General features: G+C 45.0%; 1 protein-coding gene across 42 annotated transcripts in view, besides 1 other annotated feature; it reads left to right on the forward strand.

Moving 5' to 3' along the window:
* Positions 1-20634, forward strand: part of ZNF536 (zinc finger protein 536) — a 487995-nt gene that overhangs the window by 32783 nt on the left and 434578 nt on the right. The gene's annotated exons all lie outside the window — the stretch shown is intronic.
* Positions 17777-18992: an enhancer, noted in NCBI's record as "VISTA enhancer hs383". NCBI's record gives its function as "enhancer in: heart[3/7]" and the evidence as "EXISTENCE:transgenic organism evidence [ECO:0001131][PMID:17130149]".

Here is a 20634-nt window from a genome sequence, read left to right on the forward strand (position 1 = left end):
ACTTAAGAAAGGCATGCTCTAATCCTGGGGTGTTTCTGGATATTTTTCTGGCAAAAATTGTTCAATATGTAGTTGTATAATGCGTAGTTGTTTCCTGTTTCATAGATAGTTGAACATGCCTCTGGCATAGAAACGGAAAGTACATTAACTGTGTTATGGAAGAGTGCTTTATCACCACCACTCCTCATCAGCGAGCACCTTGGTCATCTCAACCCATTGGTACCATTTGATAGATGAATGCTTTACAAATGTGTATGTTTGTGTGATTAGTTCTTTAGTACATAAGTCATATGTAGTCATCAAAAATTTTTATTTTTTAAATATTTATTTATTTATTTATTTATTTATTTATTTAATTTTTGAGACAGAGTCTTGCTTTGTCACCCAGGCTGGAGTGCAGTGGCATGATCTCCGTTCACTGCAACCTCTGCCTCCTAGGTTCAAGCGATTCTCCTGCCTCAGCCTCCCGAGTAGCTGGGATTACAGGTGTGCACCACCACGCCTGGCTAATTTTTATATTTTTAATAGAGATGGGGTTTCTCCATGTTGGCCAGGCTGGTCTGGAACTCCTTACCTCAAGTGATCTGCCTGCCTTGGCCTCCCAAAGTGCTGAGATTACAGGCATGAGCCACTGTGACCGGCCAAAATTTTTTATTTTTTTATTATTGCATTCAAATAAGTATAGCATTAAAAATATAACAAATTTCTGAGGTTAAACCTAAGAGAAGCCTGTAGCAACTCAACCCCCGCTTTTTCATTTTGTTTGCAGTTGCGGGTGGGGAGAAGGTAGCGATTTTGCACAGAATGGGAACTGGCATCCAAGGTTTTTGCTTTTTCTGCGTCATTTATATTCTGATGCTTTCATATATGGGTGATTACACTTTAAAGAGAAAAGACCTCACACTCTTCTGATGATCAAAAATTTCACACTACCAAAGGGATACATCAGGGAGCAGGGATGGTTACCATCTTTCCCTTACAGAAAAAGAATGCAGCAGCGGGTCCTGAGATGAACTAGGACTGTGGTCCTGGCGCAACAGCATGGGCGTCACCAGGGAGCTTGTTAGAAATGCAAATCCCGGGCCTCACCCCAGACCCATCTAATCGGAAACGCTGTGGGTTAGGCCCAGCAGTCCATGTTTTAACAAGTCCTCTAGGTGACTCTGATGCGTACTGAGGTGTAAGAGCCACTGCTTCAGGGGTTATAAAATGGCAGTGGCTTTTCCAAGGCTAGAAGCCCAATCCCCATGTTCCAGAACTTTCCATCATCTCCTAGTGTCATCTTCGTGTCCCAGAGGCTGTGCTACAAGCCTGTAGACCCAGTCAGTAAGCACGGTTGTTTGTTTAAAATGCGAAAAAACAGATAGGTGGTTATCGGGTGCTTCTTTTTTTTTCTGAGACAGAGTCTTGCTCTGTCACCCAGGCTGGAGTGCAGTGGTGCGATCTTGGCTCACTGCAACCTCCACCTCCTGGGTTCAGCAATTCTCTTGCCTCAGGCTCCTCTATATCTGGGATTACAGGCACCACCACCATGCCCAGCTAATTTTTTTTTTTTTTTTTTTGCATTTTTAGTAGAGACGATGTTTCACCATCTTTGCCAGGCTGGTCTTGAACTCCTGACCTCAAGTGATCCACCTGCCTTGGCCTCCCAAAGTGCTGGGATTACAGGCGTGAGCCACCATGCCCAGCTATTGGATGCTTCTTTCTTCTGCCTTTCTAAGAGATCATTTATTGGGGTTTTTCACAAGTTTACCAGTTGATCATTAGAATCTTGAAAAATGTAGAGGTGACTCCGATGTCTAAAATGTGTTTATTTTAGACTTGAATTCTGGAGAATGCCATCTCTCCGTACTGCAACAGGTCAGTGTAAAGTGTCTGTTCTTTGACTTTTGAGTCCTGCATCCTGCAGGGCATTAGGTGTTTCCATGTTCAGGTTGGGGAACATCACAGCAGTTGTTCCTGTCCAGGAAATATCTGCATTTTATGGAGTCATTAGAGTTGTCTGTTTAGAGTTTGCTGGGCAGGATAAGAGGATTCTCCTACTCATTGCAGAGCTTCTGCTGGAGTGTTTTTGGGCAGAAGCCACAGCTGTGTGACTATAGTGAGATGCTGCGAGGAAGGTTGGTGGTCCAAGCCCAAGGCCAACCTCCGTTGCATGTCGGCCATTGGCAATTCTCAGGTAGAGCTTTCTTGGCAGTGAGAGAGACTCTTGGTGAGTTCAGGATGGAGTCAGAAGGAAATTCATTGGCCACTTGCTGTGCTGCCACTGAGAGTCCTTCTCTAGGTTGGGAAGTGACAGGCTGATGGCCTTCTGTTAAGAAGTTATGACCCAGGCACCAGCCATGGCCACCATACTTGGTAGAGTCTAGCGAACCTGCAAAGGCTTCAGCCCCCGGAGCAGGAGAAGCAGGTACAAGCAAATGTGTGGGCATGGCCTTCATACCCCCAAGCCCAGTCCTGCTCCTAGAAATAAGGAGACAAAGACCTTCATGCTTCAGACCCCCTGGCCCATCCCATTGACTCCACAGCCTCAGCTTCAGCTACTGAGCTCTCCACAAATGTGGCTCCCACTATGTGAGACTATTTTGCATGATACATAGATTATTGGATATCTAAAGACCTATTAGAAAAATATAACTAGCGGCCGGGCGCGGTGGCTCACGCCTGTAATCCCAGCACTTTGGGAGGCCGAGGCGGGCGGATCACGAGGTCAGGAGATCGAGACCATCCTGGCTAAAATGGTGAAACCCCGTCTCTACTAAAAATACAAAAAATTAGCCGGGCGTAGTGGCGGGCGCCTGTAGTCCCAGCTACTTGGGAGGCTGAGGCAGGAGAATGGCGTGAACCCGGGAGGCGGAGCTTGCAGTGAGCCGAGATCCCGCCACTGCACTCCAGCCTGGGCGACAGAGCGAGACTCCGTCTCAAAAAAAAAAAAAAAAAAAAAAAAAGAAAAATATAACTAGCACATTATAGCTGTGAGTTTTGCAGATGCTATTGCTTAAGGTGAGGCTAACTTATAAAAAGAAGAAAGAAAAGAGTAGGTGCGGTGGCTCATGCCTGTAGGTGCTATGGCTCAGCTCTTTGGGAGGCTGAGGTCAGAGGATAGCTTGAGCCCTGGAGTTTGAGACCAATCTGGGCAATGTAACAAGACTCTGTCTCTCAAAACATTTAAAAATTAACCAGGTGTGGTGGTGCATGCCTGTAGTCCCAGCTACTCAGGAGGCTAAGGTGGGAGGGTCATTTGAGCCCAAGAGTTCAAAGCTCCAGTGAGCTATGATCGCACCACTGCACTCCAGCCTGGGCAACGGAGTGGGACCTTGTCCAAAAAAAAAAAAAAAAAAAAGAAAAAGAAAAGTGAGTTGATTTAAAGTTAATTAAAAAAAAGTATTAAGTAAATAAAGGTCTGGATGGCACAAAGTTATGGTGGGAACTGTGAAAGGGGGCTGTGGATGACTGAGGTGTGGAATGGGCTGAGGGTGGCCAGTGTTTCCTGAACCTCCTTGGCCATCCCCTGGGGAGGGCTCCTGCACCCAGCAGAAGTGTGGCTGGTCCATCCTGGTGAGTGTTTTATTGAGAGGAGTCCCACCCCCTCTTCACATCTCAGGCTGCTGGTGGGTGCACTTCTGCGTCTCATTGGCAATGCAATTACTGGCACCATGGGAGGTCTGCAGGTTCAAAGCTAGTGATGAGAAATCTAGTTCACCGCTTTCAGAAATACGGGTTTGGTTTAGGTGGCGATGGTGGTGCTTCATCAAAGAAAAACTCCACCAACCCATAAAAGACAAATAAGAACACAGAGTCTGGTGCTCCTCTGTTAGCAGGAGACTCCAGGTGAGAGGCTGAGCCTGCCTGGCTGGTCTCCTCATTGTCCTCTCTTCCTCCTTTTCCATGGCGGCTGCCCAGGACATAGGTCCTCCAGGTGCAGGTGGGAAGGGACAGTCATGGAGCTGTACCACTGAGTTTCCCTGAGGCATCCACATGACAAGTGCTTGTACCTTGTAACTCTGGGCTGATGCACGGGTCAAAGCATGGGGCTTGTGCTGACTCAGAGGCCATCTTCCTTGGTGCCTGATGGCAGTCTTTGCTCCTGTATTTCAAGGCTGCGGGTTTTGGGGACTGACAGATGGGCAGCAAGGCAGTCCTGTGCTTCCTGAAGTCAGTTATGCCACTGCCTCTGCGTGTGCTGCCCCAGGAAGGGAGGGCTCATCCGTGGTTGGAGGCTTGGAGATGCAATGTGGACTTGTCTTGCTGGTGTTCGTGGAATGCTATGGCATCCTTGGGTGGCCAGGTGGTCAGAGGGACCTGGGTGGCTGGTGGAAAGTGAGGGGCAACAGTGTCGCCTCCCTGCAATGGTGGGGACATAGGGGGACCTCACCCTCAGGGAGGTACTGCCTGACTCTGCGATGCCCACACTGCCTCCTTGTTTGTGTCCCAGTGGCAGATGGGGGCTGGTTTCCTCAATATTTGGGACTTTCTGAGGACGCCTCCAAGGAGGATGAGATATAATTTCTGCCCTCGTGGAATTTGCAACATGAATGGAGAGCCAAGGCCAACCCTCTTGGGAATGACCTGTGTAAGGCAGGGGTGCTAGAGCACCAAGCCCGTCAGGTGTGGGTGCTCAGGGACAGGAAGTTCAGGGTGATAGAGAACTCCGCAGCGTGGACAGGCATGAGGGAGGATGTCCTGGTGTCCCCTAGGTGAGCAAAGGCAGTGAGCCCCGAGAAGGAGGTGGGAGGAGGGCTGCTTGGTGGGAGCAGCATGGTGCAGCTCCTCTGTGAGACCCCAGAATGCAGCACAGCGCATAGCAAACAGTACATGCTCAATAAATATTTGTTAAACTGAACTGAATGGGACTAGAGCTTCGGTTGCTTATGTGGATGCCAGGGCTGGTCTCTAGCATAATGATTTTGGAAAGCATTTACTGGGTCCCTGCCCTGTCTTGGATTCTGGAACCCGGAGCCCCTACAGAAGCCACACTGCAGTGCCATCACCCGTGGAGCTGGCAGCAGAACCCACTGGGACCAGATTCCCTGGCATCTCCCAGGGACCATCCCCCCGACCAGCTCCTTTTATTAACTCAGTGTTGAAGGAGCTGCCCATTGCTGAGGAAGGATGGAAATGAAAGATAACGGAGTGTGTGCGTGTCTGTGAAGGTGACGATATAAAGGTAATGCCACTATGAAAGGTGATCTCATTCGCAACTCGGCGACTCCAATCTTCTGTGCGTTTTGGCCTTTTCTGAATCGCTGCCCCACTCAGCCCCAAGTCAAAAATTTGTTTACACTAATCAGATTTTCAGCTACTCATTCTGTTGCAAGAAGAAGTTAAGTTGTGTGTGTGCACGCGTGTGTGTATTTCATACATTTATGGGTTAAAATCAGACCCCGCGTTTCCATTGTTTTCTATCTCTAGGTTAAAAGCTTTTCCCTGAATCTCTCCTGATGCATCTCTCTAGAAAGAAACTCCCAGACTGGGCTAGGCTGAAATTTAAACACACACACACACATACACACACACACACACACACACCCTACACACACGCATTTCAGACTACACTGAAAAACTGCAAGAGAAAATAAGAAATCCAGCAACAGGAAAGGAACTTTCAGTTTTCACTTCCAAGTTTGGCAGCCTGGTGAACTTGAAAGGTTAGCTATGAATAAGCATAATCAGATCTTTCTTTTTGTCCATATTTAATTCAAATGAGACAGCTCTGTGTTGACTTCTAATACAGAAAGGCCACCCACCATGGTGGCGCTCCCAGCCAATGAAGCCGGCTGGTGAAAGCTTTCTTAAATGGTGCTAATCAGCCCGGAGAGGCCTGCCCTCTATCCCCATCAGTATTCTATAATTCAGATGTGCTGATAACCTGAAATTGAATGTGTCAGGATGCAGACATGTGAAGGGAAGAGGGAACTCCAGGCTAGAGGAGCCGGGTAGCTGGGAGACAATGCTGTGGGGGAGGGGGTTTCACACCCTCCCCTGATCCCCCCAGGCCCCCGCCCCCCGCAGTTGTGCCTCTGTGTGTGTGTGTGTGTGTGTGTGTATGTGTGTGTATTCGTGTGCACGCATGTGTGTGTGTTATTGTTCAGGGCCAGAGACAAAATGGAAGGTTTCAAGTTCTGAAATATTTATAGGAAAGCTTTGGATTTTGTATATGTTAAATGAATCAACAGACATTTTGGCTGCTAAGGGGTGAATGGTAATTTGCGATTAATTTTTTTTTGAAGCCAAGGCTATTTTAAAACCTTTCTCCCACTTTCTCATATAAGAGACAGACAGACACACACACACCCACCCCAGTCTGGTGAGCACGTCTCACAGGGAAGTTTAACAAAAGAGTCGCTATTGTCACTGTCCCAGCCGGCAGCAGTGCAGCTGAGGGTCAGTTGCTATTTCTATTTTAAACCTTGATTTTTGCAAAGTTTGTCTTTTGACTGTTCTCATTCTAATCAGGCTTAGTTAGGGGATCCGCTCCAAGCTCCACACCAGGCTGTGAGGACAGAGAAAGATAAACCGGGGGGATTAAACAAAAAGTTCTGCTCTGTCAATAGTCGTGTGTGTGTGTGTGTGTGTGTGTGTGTGTGTGTGTGAGAGAGAGAGAGAGAAAGAGAGATTCATTGACCAACACTCATCTCGCAGCCATTTCTTTAATTTCAAAGAAAGTGCAGTTTGTCACAGAGCTCTGCCTTCTGTGAGCTGGTGCCTTTGACTTTGCATGTGATTTGTTGGGTGTGCCTTCAGGGTGCTGGCTCTTCAGTCTCCCCCTTGTGCCCCATGACTTTATGTCCCTAGAAGACAGGGGAACAGCAGCTCCAGCCCCAGTCGTGTCTTCAGTACCTCAGTCTAGCCCAAACATTTCCCAAATGCTCGGGTGCAATCCTCTGCCAGCCTCTGCTGCTGCCAGGAGCCCAGCCCTCTTCAACTTTGCTGGTTGATGTCTTGATCAGCTTAGAAGCCGCCTGATTTCTGCATCTTCCCCCATGTGCTCTTCCAACCTCCCGCTCCTGCAGGTCAGGAGGGACCTTTCCTTCTGCAGGTCTCCCTTCATCAGAGCATGTGTCATTCCATCCTGGTTTAGAGACATCTGCATGCCTCTTGTGTGTCCTACTGTGTGATGTGCTCCTTAAGCGCTGAGTGTGTCTGAGGCGCCTTGTCCACCCCGCATCTCCCTCTGCACAGAAATGGGCAGGAACTGGGGAGACGCACTCAGAAAGGGGCTGAATTGCCTGTGGTCCCTGCTCAGGGCTCGCCATATTCAGAGGAAAGGATAGCGAGGGGAGACAGGCTAGGACTAGGCAGGATAGTGGAGATATAGAAGCTGCCTTTTTTCGTCATGGTTCCAGCTGGTATCACCTTGTCATCTCCCACTCAGTCCAGGCTGGCCTTAGGGACACGGGTCTGCCCTCCCAATCAAGTGGGCACTCTTTTCTTCAGAGCTCCTAGATTTTCTTCCTAAGAGACTGCTCTGTCAAAGGGTAAGAAGAAGGTCCCAGGTTTTTGTTTCTCTTTTCTTTTTTTTTTCTTTTTTTGAGAGACAGGGCCTTGATCTGTCATCCAGGCTGGAGTGCAATGGTGTGATCACGGCTCACTGCAGCCACAACCTCCTGGGCTCATGAGATCCTCCTGCTTCAGCCTCCCAAGGAGCTAGAACTACAGGCACATACCAACATGGCTGGCTAAATATTTTTAGAGACAGGGTCTTGCTCTGTTGCCCAGGCTGGAGTGCAGAGGCACAATCACAGCTCACTGCAGCCTTGAATTCCTGGGCTCAAGCAATCCTCCCATCTCAGCCTCCTGAGTAGCTGAGACTACAGCCACGAGCCACCATGCCTGGCTAATTTTTAATTTTTTTTGTAGAGAGGGGGTCTCACTTTGTTGCCCAGGTTGGTCTCAAACTCCTGGGCTCCAGTGATTCTCCTGCATCAGCCTCCCAAGGTGCTGGGATTATAGGCATGAGTCACCACCTGGCCAAGGTAACTTCTCATCTCCATCCCCATCACGGTCAGACTGATTGGCACCATGTGGCCTGTCATCCAGAAAGACCAAGAATTCTTCCCTGTGGTTTGGACCCAGTGGTGGCTTCCCCAAGGGAACGGTTGGCATATGTTTAATTATTCATTGGTGTTCTCGTCTGTATCTCTCTCCTCCTTGATTGTTTTGTCTTTCCCTAAAAATATTTATTTGAAATTCTGTGATCAAAGACTGAAAAACAAAATAGAGCAGGATATTAAAAAGAAAATTTTTTTAAGGAGGTTGGAATGTCAAGATCATTTTTATTAGAAAAGTTTACAAGATGAAGCCACGAATTATTTACGTAAACTTCATATATCAAGCATAATACTCCCAACTGTGCCTTTGGTGAGTGATATTGGCTGGCAGAACTTGGATTTAAAATACCTTCTACTTAAGGCAGGAAGAATGCATTTTAATTAAAATTAACGGATTTTTTTTCTTGATCATATTTTAACACACACACACGCACTCACACACATCTGTGTTCAGAATTGATAAAGAAGGAACTCTGGTTAAATAATCCACTTTTGTCTGACAACGGAATCCGTTATAGAGGTGCAAATATGCAGAAAGCTATTTGGAAATGCATCCTAGTAGTTGTCAGGTTTTATTATGCAGGAAGGTGTCATGTTTGTTACGAAGCTGAGTGCAGATGGCAGAGTGGAAGAAATGGATCACTAATTTTAACAATGATTAATGAACAGAGATAGAAAATGAATTACATTGGACTATCGGAGGCAAGAAATATTTTTGTGAAAATTTTGACTCATCTGCTGTGCTGTTCTCTGCAAATTATTTTCAGAAATTCTATATGTTGTCAACAGTTGACTGCATTTTCCATTACTGTCTATTTCTGTTCTTAAGTACTTTTGTGTTATTAGAGATACATAATTTCAAAATACCAATACATTCCTGATTACTTAGAGAAAATATATGTAACAGTGTGACTGTTCCATAGACACTAGCCATAAAAGTCCTGTTTTATAATAATCTTTCATTCTTCCTCATTTTATCACTACATTAGGAATGTTTGATAAAAAGAAAAGGAGGGGGACTCTTCTAGCACACGCAGAATAAAGGAAAAATAGAGTGAAGGTAGGAATAAAAATGTGGTCTTGGTGGCTTATTGTGGTGCTGAGCTGCTACCAACCCTGTCCATCTTTGCATCCCCTGCCTGGCATCATGGGAAGGAGGGGCCAACTCCTTCTCTGGTGTTACCCTCTGCCATTTGTGGCACACCCCGTCCTGTCCTCTGTGGGTGCGGCTTCAGGCATCTCCTGACTCCCTGTCTGCCTTCAGACACAGGGAGTATCACCAGTTCATGAAGTTGTCCCAGAGATTATTTTTTCCTCTGTTTGACCCTTCCTTACTTTAGTTCTTTCTCTCTGCTCCAGTGACCCTGGTATTGATAGTGAGTTTTCACAGTGCTTTGCGAGTCTCGCTTTCTTTTTCAGCCTATCAGCAATTGAGTGTGTATGTGTGTGTGTGTGACAGAGACACACACACACACACAGAAAGAGAGAGAGAGAGATCTGCAACGGAATACAGCTTATTTGTTTATGATATCTGTTCTTGGCAGGAGGCACACCTATATAATTTCTCATATGGAGAAAATGGATAGTGATTTTCTTTTCTTCCATCTTCCTCCCCCCGCCTCCCTCCCTTTCTCTCCCCCTCTCATCCTTCCCTCCCCCCCAGATATATTAGCCACATTAAATATATTGACTTCAGGGCTTCTCATTTTCCTGAGATCCTTTGCAATAGAGAAATGATCTACTAGTGTTTAGATCCCGCGTTGTAATTGGTAGGCACTTAATTTCACTCATCAGGACCCACTTTAGTGGTGACCTGAGTACATTTCATAGTTAGTAAATTTAGGATTCTTACTATTGCAGGACCACCCAATCAGAGTTCAGCTGTGCATCTGTGGTCAGTGCTATTAGTCCACCTCTCAACCCATCACTATTTAATACTTGGCTTGGATGTTAATTTGAATTAAAACTTTACCTATATAAGGGTATAGTCCTGGTGTGGTTTTGACAACTCCCCATTCTTTCCTCAAGAAGGATTCCCTCAAGACAAGATGACAGGGTGCTTCTCGACCCTCCCAGGGAGTGCTGGCTCTCTAGAGCCCTGACATTTGTGTAGGGTGAAGCTGCCTCCTGAGAACTGCCTGGTGTCTGAACAAATGGACGATCTATAACGACTTCCTTCTCCTACAAACGAGCTTTCCAAGTTTTCAACTTGACTGTTTTATTTATGCTCTTGACCTGTAAAAACAAGCAGGCTGTTTAAAAAGCAAAAAGTACTTCCCATGATTAGAGTACTTAGAGTTGAAATAAATTGGAGAATGAAGCGAACATTCCTCGCCGCTTCAGTGGAAAATGTCGTGGGGGTTTTCCTTCTTGAGCATGTTCTGTGCTTCTGCAAGCCGGAACTCCCCAATCTCGCTGGCCTTAGGGTCTCCAAGAACGGATTCATGTGTCTTCCCCTTTTCTTGCTTTTAGGTAGTGGAATTATCTTAGTGAACATTTAAAACCTGTTTGCGAATGGTTCTAAGTCAAGTAGTTTGCATATAATTATGGTCCTGATGGGAAAACACTTTGGAAAAACAACTAGTGATACAATGCAAGTCCCGCTCAGGTTACATAGCATATGCTAAACACTGAGGAAACACTCACGGTCTTTAGTGAACAAGGTAGGGGAAGGCTCCAGGGAGCCAATTTAGAATGTGACTTAAGGCAAGCATGGCTTTTTGTGTCTCTTTCTTTTGGCGAGTGTGTTGAGTAGCAGTGGTCCCTGGAACTCCGCAGGAACCCTGCCACCTGCCTGGGGAGGCCGCCCTGCACAGATCTGTACAAGGTGGGTGTCCGGAGAGGAGCAGGTTGAACATGAGGACTCAGTGGGAGGCTCTGGGTGAGCAAGGTTTGGTGGAGACAGTGGTCACTGGGCTGGTGCTCAACTGGAAGTTGCACCAGGGATAATTTAATGGTGTGGGATGTAGAGGGAGAGTTACGTACAGGCAGGGAGGGGGAGAGAATCCTACAATTTGTGGATGGAGAGATCAGGAGGAATGAAAAAGAAACTGTAGATGATCCACTTAAGAGACAAGTGATTCCTAAATATAGAACTGTCTTTATGATTCATGGTTGGGGTTGCTTTTGAGGCAGTAAGTCAGGTGGATTATCTATAGGAATAATTTGAGGGTACTTGAGATTTCGACATTTGGGTCTAAACACCAGGAAACACATTGGTGTTCAGGTTACATTCCTCCTCCTACTATGAATATCTTCTGGCTATTTAACCTGAGTGTGTTCATGCCTGTGTAAATTTGGCTCCTGGCCTGTGTTTGTACTAGGTTGGTCCCCCGCCTCGGCTTGTACGAACGAAGATGCCACAGCCCAGTGTCTGTGTGTGCGGCCTTCCCACTGCCATTCCCGGAGGCAGCTGGCACCCATGTTTCACCCAAACAGGAGCCAAAGGCAGTCCCGCTTCTAGCTGGTTCCAGTTTTCAGGGACGGCACTGTTTATTTTTCCACAGTCGTTACTGGGTTTTTGTTTTGGTTGTGATCACCTTTATATATCCCTCTGAACTAACTCATCCAATCAGAACTGGAGAGAAAAATGATTTGAAAAGTCATTTAAAAATACCTACTTCTAAGGCGAATTCATCCAAGTCATCAGATAGGTGCACACACCCCCACACTCATTTGGCCACAACTGCTGGTCTGTCGCAGGGCCTATGTGTTTGATATGGTGACAACTATGTGTGAAAACATAAGACCCACCAGCCGACAATTCTTCGTGGATACAAATCTCTAGGCATGTCCCGGGAGTGCATCTTTTTAGCCTGCCAACCCCTGGAATATACATTGAAGTTAAGCTGAGTTGAGTAATTATAATGCTATGGCCTATAGCATGAACTGAAGAAAATTCAAGATGTCTGTCATCCTTCTATTACCTCAGGTAAATAACTGATTGACCTTTTTGGGGCTCTGATACTTTACTAATCAGAACCTGAAATCTGGATAACAACACTTCATTTACTTGATAGACAAAAGAACAATTGCACTTGAAGTAATGTGATTTCTAAATAGACACTGCCTGTCAAAAATAAATGCATTAGAAGTAAAATGTAGCTCAAGGAGACAATTAGCAAACAGAGGTGACACCGTAAACAGGTGCACCCATTATTCCCAAAGCTTGTGGCAATATATTCGCGTCTTTTAGAGTGATGGAAGATCATGTGACGGTTTGGTGAATTATCCATCGGTATCATCTGACTGATGAAGCCCGCTGCTGTTGCAGAACATTTAAAAATGCATCTCACAAATTACATGGTAGCTGGGAAAAATGCAGGTTTTTTTTTTTTTTTTTTAAAGAACAATGCTTTTCTAAAGCTATGTGCTAGCATACGTAATTTTTTCTTTGAAAGGATGGAGACCATTTCATTATGCTGGGTATACAGTCGGTTAAGGTTGTGCAAATTCATTACAATGTTTGTTAATGTATAAAACATTTTCCATTCTGGTTTTAGTGACATTGGATTTTTTTTTTTTATAATGTGCCATTTCTGAAACATCTGCCATCCCCTTGTTACCTGTGGGCAGAAGAGAGAGAATGCACTCTTTCTAAGAATGTTTAGAAAATCTTTTCCAAAATGGAAAGGCTTGGGAGATAAGAGGGAAAGGACAGCTTTTTCTGTGAATGGTTAGGTTGGAATTTTCTGGGATAGGAACTTTACCATGCAATAGGCAAAGAGGGGCTGTCAGCAGCTGCTCAATATGCCAGGAGAGGAAAGGCCTGGCTTCCTGGTGGTCTTTCTGTGCCCTGTGTTTGCACACCCTGTACTGAGCACTGCTTGCAGAGTACATGCTTCTGGAAGCTTTCCCTGTGTTTTTTTCTTTTCTTTTTTTTTTTTTTTTTTTTGCTAAAGCATGAGAGATGCTTGAGGGACTTATCATTTTGGCAGTTACTATTTCTTCTTGTTGCTATATAATCACAGGAAAACAGTGTGAAATATTTTATGTGACCTCCACATTCATCTGCCCTTGACTTTTCTCATCCCTTCTCCAGAATAACCAGTAGCTGGAGCTAAGGCTGATATGGATTTAGGGGTCAAGTTCACCAGGATAGCTGTATTTTGATCACACCCTCTGCCCAGATAGCGAAATGAGCAAAACCCCACCATTCTCTCGCCATGTTCCTAGCAGCCTCCACGTTCCTGCTAGTTTCTAGCTGGGGAGGTGGCTCATGTCCATTTTCACACTTCTCTCTGGTCTCTCATACATCACAGCACTTTTTGAAGCATCCAGGTTTCTGTCTTGGAGACTGAAGAAGTGAGAGTCTCCACTTGTGAGAGTAACCACCTTGTGAGGTGGAAACGGTTGGAAGAGCTCCTTGCCCTATGTGTCCTAGGAGACAGACCCCAGGAAGTGGCTGTAGGCCTGACTGACCAAGGCTCTCCTCCAGAGACACAAGTCCGTGCGTTTTGTGAATTAAAACAACAAGAATAACAAAAACCCCTGCACAGAAGTAAGAAACTGGTAGAATGAGGTCTTCAGCCTTTGGGATCTGTGTCGTTGAAAGCCAAGAGCACTTCTTGAAGAGCTGCCCAAGTAGCCTCTCTGGGAATTTTTTGGACATCAGCTCATCGGAGAAGTGGCGGCCAGAAGGCTTCTGAAGGATCCCAAGTCTCTAAGCACTGGAGAGATTTCCTGATTTGCAGAAGTGGAAATACTTCAGCTAGGGAAGAGGGGTTCACTGGGTTTCCTCAAAGCTGTTCTTTCCTCTTTTCTCTTTTTTTTCTTTGTAAATTAATAGATAGGTAAAGTTCCTATCCCAGAACTTTGTAAATTATTTTTTGAGCAGTTTTAAATATCCAATAAAATTGAGCAGAAAGTACAGCGTTACCATGTATCTTCTGACCCCTCTCCATTAAAAGACATTTTAGTTGTTTCCACCTTTCCTCTGCTATTAAATTTGTGTTAGTGTGGTACTTTTGTTATGATTGTTGAACCAATATTGATACATTATTATGAATGAAAATTCATAATTTATATTCAGATTCACTCTTTGTGTTGGACATTTTATGGGTTTTGACAACTGTATTATGACTTGTATCCATCATTACAGTATCATACAGAGTGGTTTCACTGCCCTAAAAATCCCCTGAGCTCCACTCCCTCTTCCCCTGAACCTCTGGCAACCCTGGTCTTTTTCCTGTCTCCCTTGTTTAGCCTTTCCCAGAATGTCCTGTATTTGGATTCGTATGACATGTAGTCTTTTAACATTGGCTTCTTTCACTTAGAAATATGCATTTAAATTTTCTCCATGTCTTTTCATGGTTAGATAGCTCATTTCTTTTTATTGCTGAATAATATTCCATTATATGGATGTACCACAATCGAGCTATTCACCTCTTAAAAGACATCTTGGTTGCTTCCAAGTTTGGGCAATTATGTGATTCATAATAACATTCAATAAACATTCTGCTATAAACATTCATGCGCATTTTTTTTTAAATTTTTTACTTTTTAAGAGACAGGGTCTTGCTTTATTGCCCAGGCTGGAGTGCAGCAGCACAATCATAGCTCACTTCAGCCTCGACCTCCCAGGCTAAAGCAATCATCCTGCCTCAGCATCTTGACTGCAGGTATGCACCACCACACCTGGCTAATTTTAAAATTTTTGTAGAGACAGGGTCTCACTATGCTGCTGAGAATGGTCTTAAACTCCTAGGATCAAACGATCCTCCTGCCTCGACCTTTTGAAGTGCTGGGATTACAGGCATGAACCACTGCACCTGGCCATGCAGATTGTGTGTGTGTGTGTGTGTGTGTATACCTAAGTTTCCACTCATTTGTATAAATATCAAGGAGCATGATTGCTGGATTGCTTGATAAGACAATATTTAGCCTTGTAAGAGACTGCCAAACTGTCTTGCCACGTGGCTTTCCCCTAGCAGTGAATGAGAGTTCCTGTTGCTCCATGTCCTCCTCAGCATTTGATGTTGTCAGTGTTTTGAATTTTAGCTGTTGTGATAGGGGTGTAGTGGTATTTCATTTTTGTTTGCATTTGCAAGTCCCTGGTGACATAGGATGTTGAGTATCTTTTCATATGCTTATTTTCTGTCTGTATATCTTCTTTGGGGACGTACCTGTTCAGATCTTTTGCCCATTTTTAAATTGGGCTGTTTATTTCTTACTGTTGAGTTTTAAGAGTTCTTCGCATATTTCAGATACCAGTCCTTTATCAGATATGTGTTTTGCAAAAACTTTCTCCAATGTGTAGCTTGTCTTTTCATTCTCTTAACCCTTTCTCTTCTTAACACTTGTGGAAACTAAGCTACTTTAGCCAGTGGCTTTTATTTTTATGTGGCCGAGCAGCATCGATTTGCATTTGAAACCTGAGATTTTGAGAAATTTGGAGTCAAAGATACACATGATGTATGTTCTTAACTATGTTCATGAATACATATACATGTACACATGTGTTCATTAACACATATGCATGCATATATGTGCAAGAATGGAAAGAAATGCACCAAAATATCAACAGCCATTATATCAGTTAATAGAATTATGGATTATTATTTTCCTCTTTCTAATATCTTGTATATTCCAAATTTTCTACAAATGAGCATATATAACTTGAATAACCAATTTTAAAAAGTAAAAAGTAAATGAGATTAAACAAAAAGTGACCCCTGTAAAGGAGATACCAAGATAGTTCCGTTAGAAGTGGCATAACTTTCATTTCGACTTCAGAGATCAGGGGGACCAACGTTTCAAGTGATATCCGTGATAATATGTGTTCTCTAAAAACCTGCTTTGGAAAACAAGCAAATTTTTAGTATGACCAAATTTGACTGTCGAAATGCCAGATTATTTTGCTAAGCTCAGAATCTGCACTGCACAATAGAAATATAGTGCAAACCACAAGTACAAGTCATGCATGCATTTTTGAATTTTCTAATAGCCACATTATATTTTGTTTAATTCAGTGTATCCATAATATTATCATTTCAACACATAAAAAGTATAAAGAATATTAATGAGACATTTTTCATTCTTCCAAATGCAATTTGTAGTTTACACTCACAGCGCATCTCAATTTGGACTGGCCAGATTTCAAGTGCTCAGTTGCCACGTGTGGCCAGTGGCTACCAGCTTGGACAGTGCAGTTCTATGTGATGGCAGAATGTATCTTTTTTCTTTCCAACTTTTATTTTAGGTTCAAGGGGGTACATGGGCTGGCTTGTTACATGGGTAAGTTGTGTGTCACGGAGGTTTGGTGTATAGACCATTTCGTCACCCAGGTAATCAGCATGACACCTGCTAGATGTCTGAACATTCGAGTGATATTTATCAAGCAGAATATCAGCACAGCAAGCAGCATTACCTCTGGTAGCACAGGTGGAACAGAAAACAACTCTCCAGTTTCCAGTTATTTTACATCTCTTCTTCAAGATGCATTACTTCATAGATATCTTGGGGTTTGATGATGCTATGAAGTACTTTCTGTAAAGCGATACGTATGTTGAGTTCATGTGGTGATACACTCTATTAGAAAGCCTTTATAATTTTCTGGATTTTTCCCCCGTTTGCATCATTCCATCTCTGGCGGCCAGAATTGTCTTAGTTTTGTTGTCCTGCCAAGTCTTGAGCTGAGTGGGGTCTTCATCCTTGTGGATGGGGTGAGAGATCCAGGGCAAAGACATTGGGTGGAGCGAGGTTCAGGGAGAGCCTGCCAGGCACTGACTGCTGGAGACCATGGCCTCTGGGGGAGCTGGAGGACTCCATCCTGAGTGTGGTTAGGCTCTGGAAATCCACCAGCTTGGCAGCTTGTTAGCCAGTGCTCCCTGCCCTTGTAGAAAATGCCTGCATCTAGTTTGCACTTCTTACCCTAAGAACACTGACCTACAGGGTAAGTTCTCCTTCCTCACCTTGTCCTGGGTCAGAACCACCCACCTTTTGCTGGGGAGTAGGAACCCAGGTGCAGAATGGTGCCAAGCTCTGTGCGTGCTCCTGAGGATACGGCCATGGGGGCCACTGGCTGTGTCTGACCGGCGGACATCAGGCAGACTTGACTGCCCTGAAGATGAGGCTCTCCGAGGCTGTAGGGAAGAGATGCTGTTGCCTTGCGTTGGGGCACAGTGTGTTTGAGTGGCTCACAGCATGGGTCATGGAATCAGTCTGCTGAGATTCACACCCTGGGTCCCCATCTCCTGAGCTCTTAACCTCAGACACAGAACTTTGGGGCTAGTGCCTCAGTTCTTCATCAATAAATGATAATACCCACCTCATAAGATGGATGCAAGGATGAAGTGAGATTGCGTGTCAATGCTTGGAACTCTGGGTGGCACTTGGTAAATGCTAGTTTTCATTCTTATTGAATTCAAGAATGGTCAGTCAATGAACAAAGCCCTCAGAAGGTGTGTGTGTGTGAGTGTGTGTGTGTGTGTGTGTAAATACATACTGGCTGCTTCCTGGACTACATTTCTTTAGTGGCCCAAGTGTTCCTATCTCTTGCACTATCAACCTGCACTGAATCACCGGCAAGAGTATCTCCCCTCTCCCTTCACTTTCCCTCTCTCCTTTCTTCCTTCTCAGGGCTGTTTTGACTATGAATTAATTGTAGGTTTGGGGACTTGCAAGCAATAATCAAAGCCAATAAACTTCAAAAGGATGGGGAGGACCAGGGCCACCGGGGGAGTGCAGGGAGCCGACTGGAGCTCTTGGTGGCTGTGGGTTGGGGTGGTGGGGGCTTTCTATGTTTCTTCAAAGGGGACACCAAGTGTTTCAGATTGTCACTTAAAAGCTAGATGCAAAACTTTGGAAATCTGGTGAGAGGTGACGGTTTCCAAAACAGCTATTTTTATCTTTTGCCAGCAAGCATGAGCCCAGTGGAACGGAGAGTTAAACTTGGAATTTCTTGGCAAGGGTTAATAATCAATGTAGATCTCCTAACAAAGGAGATGCTGCCTTATTATACTGGGAAAGTTTTTTTTCTTAACTGTCAGTGAAGCAGTACTAATTATTACTCCAGTGTAAATGAGGTCATTTCCTATTAAGAGAACAAAATGCTCAGCCCTGCCTTGCCAATTCATACCAACTATTTTTCACACATACTCAGCTTTTTAGTTTTTTTTAAATTTTGATAAAATCCATTCATTTGTATTAGAAAAGTGTAAACCATCGCCATAATAGTTGCCCGTGATTACCCAGATGAGCTTTTGTAATGTGTGGGTTGTTTGAATACCATGTGTTAGCTATGGAACAATTAGGCAGCTGAATGGATCTTTAAAACAATCAGATACTTTTATCTCACTGAAAAAATACATTCCTTGGATGTGTACTGTTAAACCGTAAATTCCGGCGAACATTAAGCTCACGTCACCAGGAGAACTTTCGGATATATGTTGATCAAGGACACAAAGACATCCAAATATCTTGTCTTCATGTTTTTTTTTTTTATGCAAGCAAAAAGATTTAAGGAATATTGTAGCAAACAAAGGGTAATTGTTTTAGCCCAGATGTTGCTTTTGCACAACAAGCAGGTTACAATGTTCCCACAGAGCTGATGAGCCCAATCAGGGAAATGATTAAAAATTGATTTTGTCCCTGTAATTACAGTATGTAAACTACTTAGCTTGGATTGCAAAGGAAGTGATTTTCTAATTACGTATATACTCTGGTGTCTAATGATTGGTTTTTTGAAGTAATGAAGAGAGAGCACTAACGACTCCTTGGTGTTCTGTTGTTTAAGAAAGACCATCTTTAGAGTAAGCGGCAACAGACAAAGAGTTTAAATTGAATTTTCAACACTGTTGATGTGCACATGGATTTGTTTATTAAAGAGACAGGGGTGTAATTTGATTGGCTCTGAGCATCTTGGCTTTTTTTCATGCTAAAGCATGTAAAAATACATGCACAGGGCAGGCGAGCTGATGAGAGGAAGCCTCTCCACTCCTCTTTTATCATCCCCGAGCCTGGTCCGATATTGTAGGGTATCAGGTTTCTGTGAGCTTCTGATGTCTGTGTATCCTGAAAGCATTTAGATCGAACAGGTATCAAATAGCTTCTCCATCAAAGTTACCTTTGTTTTAAAATGAAAGAAGAGGCTTCCTTTGGAAGCGTGTCTGGGCAGCCCTACGCGCTCTGTGTTATAATATTTCAGCCGTGTCGTATGATGCTGGGCTCTGTGTCAGGGTGGCAACTGCTGTCTACCTCCAACATGCATGTGAATGCTCACACGTGCACACATACATGCACATACCCACACACACACTCATACAGGTGCTACCGCCTGTGTGCGGAGGCCTGATGGCAGCGTGTCCGTTGTGGGACCCTGTGGAGTGGGCTAATGGGTTTTGGGAAAGATCTTGCCAAGTTTCTAGTGCTTGTCCTCCTCTTTGAGACACATTGTGGCTGTCGAATAACAGCTCAGGCACCTGCTCTGGCAGAAGTTAGCAGAGGGTGACCATTTCTCCGTTGGTATGTCATGCCCTCTGGGAGGAGGGTGGTGGCTTCAGCATGACCCTGACAGCAAGAACCTTGTGGGCGGTGCTGTCTTCAGCAGAATCCAACTCACACTCTCTCTGGGCCCTGTCCTCTCCTACGCGGGCTTCGTGCTGGTGACTTGGGACCCGATGTTTTGAAATGTAGGTTTTATTATTATTCAGATATGGCGTGGCCAACAGGGCAGGAGACAACTGAGATTGAAGGGACAGTTTGTTACTCACAGTTCCCAAGAGGAAGACATGCCATGCCACGTGGGGATCACATGGAGAAGCACCAGGATTCCTGGGAGGCAGAAGGCGAGAGGGGAGAAGAGGGACAAGAGCCTTTATCATAGCTTCCCAGGGAAAGGCAAGGCAAGGCAGGGCTGGGAGGGTTTGAATTGGCTCGTTTGAGTGGTTTCCACAGGCATGGACCATAGGGGTTGCTTCTAGTTGTCTGGTTTCTGGCCATGGGCGATTAGGGCAGGAGGATAGTGGCCCCAAGTGGGGAGGCCCTGTGAGAGCCCAGTAAAGGTGGTGTGGGCGGTGTGGTTTGGACTGGCTGTTTTATATATGAAAGGAGCTCCCGGGGAGTCATTTACCAACTCTAGCAGGGCAGTCTTTCTGGGGCCAGCAAGGCCCCAAGATGTCAGGGCATCAGAACCTTTTGGTGAACACACCTGGGTCCTGGGCTGAGGCTGGTTTGGGAGCTGGTTCCCTGTGCCCCCTGGGTCCTGGGCCAGGGTGAGCGTGGCTGACTCTGGGCTCTCCTTACTCTTGGTGTTCTACTTGGCAGGTCTCACTGCTTTGTCATGGAACACATCCCGAATATGCCTGCCTTTCCCCTGCCACTGCTCTCTCTCCAGCTCACACCAGATCCTCGCTTACTTACACACCTGCAGCAGCCTCCCCCATGGGTCCCCCTGCCTCCTCTCTGACCCCCTCTTGTCTGCTCCTTTCGTAGCAGGCATACAGTGCAAATAGATCATGTTTTTCCTGTGCCCAAAATCTACCAGTGGCTCAGGATAAAACCCTTTCCGACTAGGTACGTGGATCCTAAAAAGCCTATCTTCATCCATTCTCCCACTCACTATCCATACCCAGGCCGCAGGGAA

Source organism: Homo sapiens, chromosome 19 (genome assembly GCF_000001405.40).
Source record: "Homo sapiens chromosome 19, GRCh38.p14 Primary Assembly".
Classification (NCBI taxonomy): domain Eukaryota; kingdom Metazoa; phylum Chordata; class Mammalia; order Primates; family Hominidae; genus Homo; species Homo sapiens.